Source organism: Homo sapiens, chromosome 14, assembly GCF_000001405.40.
Source record: "Homo sapiens chromosome 14, GRCh38.p14 Primary Assembly".
Classification (NCBI taxonomy): Eukaryota; Metazoa; Chordata; class Mammalia; order Primates; family Hominidae; genus Homo; species Homo sapiens.
Genome location: NC_000014.9, coordinates 30,490,342 through 30,502,651, shown reverse-complemented (window position 1 = coordinate 30,502,651; position 12,310 = coordinate 30,490,342). Strand labels below are relative to the sequence as shown.

The 12,310-nt window shown below is 36.9% G+C and overlaps 1 long non-coding RNA gene across 1 annotated transcript in view; it reads left to right on the top strand.

Annotated features, from left to right (window-relative positions):
* G2E3-AS1 (G2E3 antisense RNA 1) overlaps positions 1-12,310 on the top strand; it is a 139,366-nt gene that overhangs the window by 74,706 nt on the left and 52,350 nt on the right. The window lies entirely within an intron of this gene.

Sequence of the window (12,310 nt, the reverse complement as noted above, 5' to 3'; positions counted from 1 at the left end):
TGAGGCTACTGCTGAGGATGCATTATTACTATTCACAGCAATATTTAAAGACACAAAAATAGAAACGTTGATATTCTGTTTTAATGCCCAAATCAAAGCAATTGGAAATTGCTTAAGTGGGCCAGTTTTAAATTTTTTAAATGCAAAAGACTTCTAACCAATACCAAGCAAGAAATGTGCTAGAAACTAATTGGAATATTGTGCTCAAAAGTGATTTTAGTTGGGGTTCAACTGGGCTCAATTAAACAGACATTTGTGATGCATTTTAAAAAAATATGGTGGCCACTGCTTTGGAAATTAGAGAATATTGGGAAGACACACAGTGTTGGCTCTCAGTGTTGACCTCAAAGTGGTCAAAGCATAGTTGGAAGGGCTGTCACATAAACAGAAAAACCATCATTGTTAGACTGACCCAAATCCCAACAACATTAGATCCATGTGATTTTATAAAGTATGCCTGGTTGCCTAAGCTCTCAGAACCCTAAAATAGGCCCTTGCCTTGTTGTCTGCTGTAGTCATGTGATAATTAATACACTGAAAACTATTTTTACATGACAAAATAGCCAGTCAATTGAGGAAAAACAATCCAGTTATATCATACAATAAAAAGAAAAATTACTTAAATTGGTTGTTTTGTAAAATTCAAAGAGAACAATGAATTATTTTAATAAAATGTTTGTTAGAATTCGTTACAGTGTTTGCATAATTGCTTTTTTGATTTTGTACCGGTTGTTTGATGTAATGAATAGAATGAACCTCGGAGTCCTGAAAACACTGCCACTATGAAACTATGAAAAAGGAGACAGCGAAATAGACTTGTCATCCTGTGCAGGTAAAACAAAATAGTGGCTTATGGGTGTGATGAGTACAACTAATTTGAAATTATCTAGACAGGAGGAGTCATGGCTAGGCTTTGCTTCCACATTATTTTAGTTTTAGGAAGGTGAGACTATAGCATTGAGGACATTATTGGCGTAATGAGAAGAATTCCACTTCTGTACACCTAAACTGTTATCTGGAAGAAAATGCTAGTTTAGACAATATGAATTTATTTTTTGACATATTTATGAAAGAGGCCTTTTAGCTGTTTTCTTTAGATAGGTTGTTATATTCAAAATATTCTTTTCAAATTCTATTGAGTTTTATGTGATCAGTATAGTAATTAATAGAACCTTAGTCTCTTAAGTAGGCAACAGAGTAAAGAAACCATTTTAAAAAGGAACCAGAGACACAAAAGGATAAATAATTTTCAAAAGAAAGCAAAATATCATCTAAAAAGTGAATTGTTATCTGTCTTGATCAGATTCTTCAATGGCCTGCATTGTGAGATTCTTGAATGTACAAGAACTCCTTCTGATGGCTTCCTGATCTATACAGAAGCCACCTGAGATGGACAATTTTAAAAGATGATAAGGTTCTATGCAATAAGCCAGTTTCGTTCCTTTTGAAAAATGGTATATGAATAAACCAGATCAACAGAGACTCTCAAATCTCGCTTTAGATACTACTTCTACTTCACTCCTTTTCTTCTACCCTGGTAACTTTAAGTAAAGTGTGTGGGAAAAACCACCCCCTAAAAGTTTCAGGCTTTCTCTCCCAGTTCTTTCTGATCTGTTCTTGATTGTAAGAATTAATAAGGAGCAAAATGAACAAAAGCTGGGTCCCAAAGAAGAAGGCAAGAGCCAGAACAATCAACAAACCTATGAGTCTTACCCTAAAAATGAGAGACTTGTCTTCAACAGTTGAGGGAATAAACAAAGTCTTAAGCCTGTAGCAGTGTAGTTCACCCCATGGCAGAACATCAGCAATGCCTAGGTCTAAAATGAAATGACCTACTCATGACAGCAAAGTGTTTTTGATACAATACCCACGAAGGCTTTAGGGGTAGAATAGCATTTCAAATTGAAGAAGGTATCAGTTTCAATATCTCTTTCAGAAAGTCTTTTGGTGGCGTGTTGTGTAGGTGTGCTATGGATGTAAAGATATAAATTAAGTACCTTCTGAGTTCAATTAATTAGTTTTATAGGGAGAACTTAGAGTTATTTAAAAAGAAGGCTTTGGGTTTTTTTTTTTTGGTGTTCGGTGCAGGTGATATTTATTAACAAGTAGGCTGTGTATAAAGAATATGTTTGTATGCATGCAAAGTGGTATTTTATTGAAGAATGCAAGGTAGGTTGTCATGGAGATTAAAAGCCTTGAAGTGCTATTCACTGGTGTTAGTTATGGTTGCTGGGCACTAGGATATTAGGTTCTGGCACCCTGAAGGTTTCATTGTTGTAATAATAATTACACTTTTATCTTCACTGTAAGGGCTATTCAAGTAGGATAAATAAATACAGACACATGAACAAATCTAACTTAAAGGTAAATATAGCAACCCTATGACCCATCCTGGTGCAAAATTATGTAGCTGTAGTTACTACACCGTCAAAATGCTTGATTTTCATTGAGGGTCACAGAAGCTGTTTATAAGATGAATTTACAAAATGCACAAAATCTACACTTACATTAAAAAGCAACAGAAGAATGAAAGCTATTGACCATTAGTGTAGTCACTGGTAAATATAAAGGTTTCCTTTAGAAGCAGAGGAAACAAATGAAAAGCTTGTAATATGTTTTGCTAGCATTTTCTTGAAATACTGTATTTATATGAGATTTCAAACCTGACTTTGAGCCCTATGTAAAGCATAAAGTGATTTTTTTTCTGGTGTTCTTTTCTCTTCCATGATTAGACAAAATGATCTTGACAAGTTTACCTTAGTGAGAAACTACGTATTTTCTATATAAAGAGACTACTTATGCTTGGCAGAATCAGTATGGACATTTTCTTAACCAATAAATTAATAGAAAGAGTTGCAATATAGAAAACTATACAACATACACAATATAACATTGAAATTTGCAGCAGTAAGTAATGTGGTTTTCAAAACTGCCTTAAGTGATGATTAACTAGAATTATATATATTTATATTTAAACTGACACCACAGAATTCTTTGAAGTCTTGACAGATATGTGGAATATTTAAATGTAGTAATTGCAGTTGCTAAACCTCCTGGGATTAACCTGCTGGAGAGATAGTGACATCTTATACAGAGAAAAATGATTTGTACTGTGGGGGAAAAGCTGAAAATGAAGCAATTCCATGTGTGTCTTATATTCTTATATAACTCTTTGGAAAAGAAGTTTATTGTAACTAATGAATTGGTAATATTCTGTAATAATCCACCATGTGAACAATTATATAATTTGTATAAATGTAGGCATATAATTTAGTTTTCTCAACACTGATTTTAGGTTTCATAATATAGCACAGTTCACAAAAAGTAAAACAGACTGAGAAGTAGATCAGGACTGGATTAATGTTAATGGTAGGAATCTTGGATTTTTGCTTGAAGGTAGGTTCCATATTACTTTATCTTCTAGAAATGGGGAATGTTGTAACGGTACTTCTCAGTTCATTTTAGGAAATATTTGTTAAATGCCTTTATGCTTCAAGCACGTTTTGTTGAATTTAATCGAAGTCAAGGGGCAAAAACATTAACAAAGAGAGAGAGTGCTGGTATATTTTTATCAAATAAAATTATTTTAAAATAAGTCACATTGTTACCATATTATCTGTAGATAGAAGATGGATTAATCATAGGGATTGTCTGTTGCCCCTGATGTTCAAAACTTCTGATGAAGTACTTTGAGTTGCATCTATATAACATAATCAAATAGCCATAACTTGAGCTTGAGAATCAATTTTAACCAACTTGGCAAGATACAAATCTCTGTGTATAAGAGTAGAGCGAGAAGATATCAGCGGGTCTCTGGGTATACGCTTTCCAAGTCTAGACTTCTCTGGGGTTTTAAATAACAAATTGTATCTTAAAAGTACCTGAGATAGTGGGATAATCTCTTTTCGCAGTGGGGTAAATTGAGGTAGATATTTAGTAGAAGTGTGCATTGTATAATAGCTGTACACCAGGGAGAGGATATTGAACTGAGAAACACACATTTTAATTACAACTATGCTACTAGACAATTGAGTGATTTAAAATCATTTGTTCATTCCACTGGGGGAACAATGGTGACTCACCATACAATGGGAATTTCTTTGGCATGGCTGCTAATACTGCTAGTGGAGAAAAGGAGTAATTCTTCACTTAACAGCCTAAGACTTGGCTTTCCATACCACCCTGTTCCCAGACTTCCTACACTGTAGTGGCTTCCTTCCTAAGGATAGAGCAATACCGTCCTCATGAAACTTACAGTTGAGTGGGAGGAGACAGGCATTGAATAAGTCATTTTAAGTGTGAGAAATCTTATAAAAGGAAGTCCAGGATTCACTAACTGTATATGTTTACTTGAAAGTCGCTGCTGATGAAATATTTGGCACTACTAAGATGACTCCAAAATAGCTTTATCTCTCATCTCAGCCTCTTTTCGGAGGTATAGACCTATATCCCCAATTACATGCTTGCATTTTTAACCTAAATGGAATTGGCTTCTATAACTCAACTTATCCAAATCCAAATTCATCATCTCCTTATCAAAACAGCATGTCTTTCTAACTCTTCCACTTATTTTAGTGGCCCTGTCCATTTCCCAGTCACAGCAGACGTGAGATCCATCTTTCATTCATTCCTTTGTTTTCCACATATTAAAGATTCCATTTTGATAATGTCTCTTCTGTCTGATTTTTTTTTTTCAATTCCTGCACTCACCAGGCATTGGTCTTTCAAGCAAATTAAACATGGTCATTCGCTTCTTTATTCAACAAATATTTCAATGCCTATTACAGACTATGTCCTGTGCTGTGGATATAGTAGTAAGTAAAATTGCCATCATCCTGCTTTCACAGAGTTTGTGGGGTCATAGATGAGGCAGATATTAAATGAATAACTGTATTCATTTAATAAATGAATATACATGCTATGAAGGGAAAGCATAGGTGCTACAGAGTGCCAAGCAGAAAGATAATATAGATACCTGATATATTTTGGGGATGAAAGTGGGGCAGTCTTGTCTGAGGCCTATGGAGTAAGTAGGAGTTAGAGGAGGAGTAGGAAGAAAATATTCCAAGTAGAGGGAAGAAGTCTTACAAAGTTTCCATTTCTAGAGAGAGTGTGGAGGCTTTGAAGCTGGAGAGGAAGGCAGAAGTTGGATTGTGTAAGGCATCATCAGCCTTTTTAAGGAGTTCAGATTTTATTTCAAATGGGATGGGAAGCCATTGATGGGTTTTCAGCAAGGGAATGGAGCTGAGATGTATTTGAGATACATATAGAAAGTAGAATGAGCAGAACTTGTTGAAAGAATGTATATGAAGAAATAGAGGAGGTGCTAGATTTCTGACAAGAGCAACCAGGTAGATAGATGTGCCATTTGGTGAGACAGAGAACACAGGTTTGGAAGGCAGGATAATGAGTTCAGTTTGGGACATGTTTGAGGAAAGTATGATAGCCAAGTGATTGTTCAGAAGGTAACTGGTTATATATAAACATGTTCCTGCTGTCAAGGAGAGAGCCACCCGCCTAACAGATGTTAAGATATTTACAATGACTACACAACAAGATAGATTATAGTTAATGCCACACTAAATTGATGACTCATGAAAAACCTCTTGGAGAAGGTGACATTTGAGAGGGCCTTGAGAGAATGATAGAATTTTGACAAATGCTCCTTGGTTTTCTACATTTAAGAATGATGCACTAAAATGCTGATATGATGATCTAACTTTTGAAGTTGGTGTTTACTGACTGGTGTAGGATTGTAGGGGGTGCATTGGCCTTTTTGTGAGGGTGTCTTAAATTCCAGCAACTATAGATTTTTCTTTTGGGCTGGTCTTCCAATTTCTTCTCTTGAGGGAAGATATAAACTTGGCTGCCAGTGTTTTGGGAGTCATATGAGAGAAGAGAGCTCTGGGCTTTACCATCCAATATGTGGATTTTTAGTCATTTTTTGTTTTAATTATAGCACCTCTGCCCTTAGCTGTATCTGATGACCCAAGACCAGAGTTCTTTAGATTTAATCTTGCCAGGGAATAATTTCTGCCAGGGTGGGAAAAGTGAACTCACTTGCTGGTTGGAAGAGGGGGTCTGGGACTCTCATTGCTATTTACAGGTTCTTTCAACAAATTCTTCAGTCTATAGCCTTGCCCTCTACCATTCCAAGGTGCTTCTAATTCCCAGGCTTGAGAGCATATGAACCGGCTTGACTCCTATTGGCTTCATTCTCCAGACTCAAGTTTATGCTTTCTCTGGCCTGCCAGATCAGTACCATCATCCATCTATATATGCTTTTCAGCTTCCAAATTCGTATCTAGTGATGTGTTCTGTTCTGTTTGTCTTTGCAGGCTTTCTTCACTGTCATTCAGGAGGGAGTAGAAATAAACTTGTGTTTAATCTGTCATGTATAATAGTAATGCAATTTCTAAAAAGTGCCTGACTATAATGATTTTAAGTACTGGAAGATAATAGCTTAATAAAGTACATAATCTAATTTCCTCCTATAATTTCATAATTCTTATTGTAAAGAAATACTCCATAAACTCAGACAGTATTTGGAGCTTCAATTATTTTACAATTGTTTTAGTGCTATTAGTGCCTTACGTTTCTTCAGGCATCCTTTTTCTAAGTCCATTTGCATCAGATAATTGCTAAATCAATAAAAATATATTTACATAAAACTTTTTGGAGAACAGGCTTACCATGTTAAAAAGAAAAGCTAAAGCTATTAGAAACAAAAGGCACATGGACAAAAATGGCTATATTTAATTAATATTAAAGTTGTGAAATCAACCAGCAAAAAGTAATGAAACCAAGAATTTATGTGGGTACTATGGATTTAAGTATAACCTGAGCCTGAGGACTTAAAATGATGGCATCAGGTAATATAGCTGATGGGATAGTCCAAGAATGACTTCTCAAAATCTCAAGTTAATGACAGCTTTCAGGAAATAACGGAAGATTCTGTGTCTTTTTTTTCTTCTCACCATTGCTTCTTCTATATTACCAAACCTACAGATCATGTCTTCATACCTTTGTAATTAAATTTTATGAAAAACAGAGCAAACTAAGACTTTCATAAAATTTCCCTTTTTAAAAAATATTTTATAGTCACAAACTCCCATCAGTAAACATAGGCTATTCATTCAACCATTCGTTCAAGAAATATTTTTTGAGCACTATTCTTTTTTTTTTTTTTTTTTTTTGGGACAGAGTCTCTCTCTGTTGCCCAGGCTGGATGGAGTGCAGTGACACAATCTCAGCTCACTGCAACCTCCGCCTTCCAGGTTCAAGTGATTCTCCTTGCCTCAGCCTCCTGAGTAGCTGGGATTTTAGGCACCTGCCATCATGCCTGGCTAATTTTTGTATTTTTGTAGAGATGGGGTTTCACCATGGTGGCCAGGCTGTTCTTGAACTCCTGACGTCAGGTAATCCACCCGCCTCGGCCTCCCAAAGTGCTGGGATTACAGATGTGAGCCACTGTGCCCGGCCTTGAGCACTATTCTATTTGGCACATTAGGAGGTTCCCGAAGATACAATGGTGAGCAAAGGGAAATACGGTCCATGTTGTCAGGTAGCTTTTAGTCAAGAGGAGGAGACAGATATTAATTAACTAAGCCTACTAATCAAATAAATTGAGATAAATGTCCTCCTGGATAGACACAAGTTTTATTGGCAGGTGTGTAATGAAAGAGTCTTACCTGCACTGGAGGGATGGGGAAAAAGATATGACAGTTGAGTTCTTAATGCCAATTTAACTAAGCTGAAGGGATGCCAACTTAACAGTGGGATGGTGGGAACAGTATGTACTCATGTAGTAGGAAGGAGTACTAAATATTCAAGGAAGAGTGTTGAGACAAGGTCAGTGTGGGCAGGAATTAAGGAGGACCATGACTGGGCTGGAGAAGTAAAAATAATCAGATCGCAGAATAATGGGAAGCCTGCAATACTGGGAGTGGGAATTTCACTTAAATGTAAGTGAAAATTTTTTTCCAAACAGTAGTACTTGCACGAGAAATATTAAAACTGACCGCTGTGTTTCATCACAGATAATTCCACCAGGTCAAGCTAATAAAGGATCATGAATTTGAGTGACCAGGGGGCCCGTAGGATATCAGATCCTTATTGAATCTAACTGAAGACTCTTTCATGACCAATGAACAACGGAACTCACTTGTTTTAACCAACTATGTAAAGAACAATCTTTAGCCAATGCAGAGTGCTAGTTTTCAATGCTTAATTAACACAAACACCATAACTCTCCCTTTCTGACACACACATTTCTGAGTTTCCCCTGCTCAATGAACTACCTGTGAATTTTTCACTTGCAGATGTTTCCTTGCTTGGCAAGAAATATTTACCTCTTAATGTGTTTAGCTTAAATATTTTCATTTTTTTTGATAGCAAAGTATGGGGATATAGATCATATCACATTTGAATCAAGAAAGTCCTGTCTGGCTATAGTTTGGAGAATGGCTTGAAGAATGAATCAGTGGATTCCAGGAGACAAGTTAGTTTACTGCAGTAGTCCAGGCCAGCATGATAATGGCTTACTCCAGAATGATGGTGGTGGAGACAGAGAGTGATGGACAGATTTGAGAGATATCCAGCAGATGAATTCACAGGACTTGGTAGTGGATTGGATATGGGGGTTGAGAGGTATCACAAATGACTTGTGGGCTTGAAAGGATGTTGATGTCAGTCAACAAAGTAGGGAATCCTAAAAGAGGTCCAGACAGAGAGTGGGGAAATGGAAGATTAAGAGTTCAATCTTGCTTTGCTTATTACCTTCCAAATTGTTTGTATGGGAATCAGAAGCTTTAAAAAGAAGAATTGTAAACAGAAATTGTTTTTATGTGTACCATATTTCAGAGTCATTAGAGCTACAGTTTTTCTAATATATAAATACTCTTGGTTTATTTGTTATGTATCTCACTAGATTTTCTTTGGGCAATCCTATTGGCATTTTCCATTTATAACAATTGCAGTCATTTCAAATTGCATTTTAAAGGAAGTTATGTATAAAGGTGTTGTGCAGTTTGCTATAGATCATTTATGCAGAGTGGAGCATAGTGAGTTCAATTCAAAAATAAGGCCAAAAAGCAAAGTCTTCCTTACACTGGTGCATTGCAATGTATGAATTTGGTATGGATGAACGTAACTGTCGAAATCAAATACAGGCGTGGGGAAATATTACCTATTGCTCACTTAGCATTGATTTTTAGTAGCAGCAGGTTTAGCTAAAAATCTGTGATCAATGGACTGTTACAACTAAATAGTCTCTTTCATTTCCAAGGGAGGAGAAGAAACCCTGAATATTTTCTGGAAATAGTTTTCTTTTATTATTAAAGCAATATGCTTTCAATATAGAAAAACACAGAAAACAACATTTTTGATTCTGGAATATCTCTGTTTTTTTTTTCAGATACATGCCAGCAAGGCTTTTTGCTTGCTTGCTTTTTTTTTTTTTTAAGATATACAGGGAATAGGAAACACAAAAAATTTAAATAGAATCTCTAGTCCTAGCTGTGACCCACAATTCCAGTTGTTTTTTAAAAAATTAATTCTCAACTAGATTATCTACACCACCAGAATATAACTAGATTAAGAGTAAAATAACATGCTTAAATATGTTATATCCCTCCCTCAATATATCACTGATTTTTTAGAGATAGGATCTTGCTCTGTTGCCCAGGCTCGAGTGAAGTGGTGTGATCATAGCTCTTTGCAACCTTGAACTCTTTGGCTCAAGTTATCCCCACTGCCTCAGCCCCACAGGTAGCTAGGTCTACACGGGCATGCCACCATACCCAGCTAATGTTTTTTTTTTTCTTTTTTAGTTTTTTGTAGAGACAAGTTCTCACTATGTTACCAAGGCTGGTCTTGAACTCCTGGCTTCAAGTGATCCTCCTGCCTCAGCCTCCCAAAGCACTGGGATTACAGGTGTGAACCACTGTGTCTGGCCCCTGCCACTGATTTTTAAGTAGCTAAAGATGGTCAGATATTTTTGTAAACCTCTAATGTATTCTTTTGTGAGATTGGCCCCACTCTTTAAAAAAAAACTTCTTGTTCCTATTTTATATCATTTGTCACCTTGTCTGTTTAAGTATTATTTATTCTGTTTATTTTATATTCTTGTCATGTCTACTTCAATATTTTCACTTCAGTTGGTGTGTGTCATTCATGTTGTTGACTTTTATTATAATAGGTGATCTCCTTAGGTGTCTAGATAATCTGGCCTTTGAGTTCATGTTCTTTTTTTTTTTTTTTGAGTTGGAGTCATGCTCTGTCACCCAGGCTGGAGTGCAGTGGCATGATCTTGGGTCACTGCAACCTCTGCCGGGTTCAAGCAATTCTCCTGCCTCAGCCTCCCGAGTAGCTGGGGCTACAGATGCATGCCACCACACCCGGCTAATTTTTGTATTTTTAGTAGAGACAGGGTTTCACCATGCTGGCCAGGCTGGTCTCAAACTCCTGACCTCAGGTGATCCACCTGCCTTGGCCTCCCAAAGTGCTGGGATTACAGGTGTGAGCCACTTTTTTTTTCTTTTATTTCTTTTTGAGACAGTCTTGTTCTGTTGCCCAGGCTGGAATGCAGTGGTGTGATCTCGGCTCACTGCAACCTCTGCCTCCCGGATTCCAGCAATTCTCCTGCCTCAGCCTCCAGAGAAGCTGGAATTACAGGCATGCACCATGATGCTGGGCTATTTTTTGTATTTTTAGTAGAGATGGGGGTTTCATGATGTTGGCCAGGCTGGTCTTGAACTCCTGACCTCAAGTGATCTGCCCACCTCAGCCTCCCAAAGTGCTGGGATTACAGGTGTGAGCCACTGCGCCTGGCCTTGAACTCATGTTCTTTTGAGGGAGAATGAGCTACCTTGTCTGTGGAAGGACCAAAGGTCATTCTGTGATGTTTCAGCAGTGTTTGGGGAGAGAAGTGTGTTGAGACCTATGGTGGAAAGCCCTGGGAACTATGGGCCTCTTGTTGACCACACCCCTGCATTCCAGCCTGGGCAACAGAGCAAGACTCTGTCTCAAAAAAAAAAAAAAATGGCTCATGCCTGTAATCTTAAATTACCTTATATAGTTGGCACTCCGTATCTGCAGGTTTCACATCAGTGGATACGACCAATTGTGGATCAAAAATATTTGGAAAAAAAAAACAATAAAAATAACACAATAAAAAATAATATAAAATTTAAAAACAATAAGTAAAAACAACTATTTGCTTAGCATTTCCATTGTATTAGGTATCGTAAGTAACCTAGAGATGATTTAAAGTATATAAGAGGATGTGTATAGGTCATATAAAAATAGTATGAATTTTAATGTGAGGCACTTGAGCATTTGAGGATTTTGGTGTCCATGGGGTTTCTGGAACCAATTCCCTAGAATATAGAGTATGACTGTAATCCCTTTTTCCTGAGAGGGGGAATCTGATGGCTCGAAATGATCCTGGAACTATCCCGAAGTCAGGCATTAGTTTATTGAAGTAACTAGGCACTGTCCAATTTGCAACTAGTGGTCAATTGACTTTCATGCAGCAAATCCAATACCAGTTGTTGGGGGCCACAGTTAATATGTTTTTTGCCCTAAACACCCATATGGTGCTTTAAATAATATTGTAACATTTTGGGGCCACTTGTCAAGAATGGTCTGGTGCCATGCAATAAATATGTGTATCAAAAACATTAGGCCTATCTAAAGCAAAATAATTTGTGGTGCAGTCTGTAGTGTGTCTTACTTGAGAGTAAAAGTGAGATTACTTTAAAAGTGAGATTACTTCCAAATACACAGCTTTAGTTTCCTAGTTTTCTTTAACATTTTACATCTGTGCAATTTAGTGATAAAATCTAGCTATCACAATAGGTCCTCAAGTATTTGGTGGAGACAGGAACCTCCCTTTCCTAATACAATGTAACAGGGCATTTTAGATTTCTGTGTTTCTGGCCTGTTGTGGTATTTGCTATCTAAAGTTCCTTAATTATTAGTTGAGTTCAATTACCCACTAAACCAATGCTTTATTACAAAGAACTGGTACCAAGGGAAGCTGGGTGGCTTCCAAAGGAAAATGTCTACAAATCCAATAGTCAGAGTGGTTTTGGCTTAGCCAGTTCATACATAAATTGGAACTGAGTAACTAGAAATGTAAAAAACGACATTGAATAAAGCTTCATAGGTAACATAAAGATAGACTTAAGACCAGCAAAAGAAGAAATTACTAGGAAAATAGAGCCAAAGAATGTGTATTGAAGTGGGCAGTCGCTGGTCTTGTTCAATGGCTTTTGGGTGGAGGCTATTGACATAACAGGTAGACATT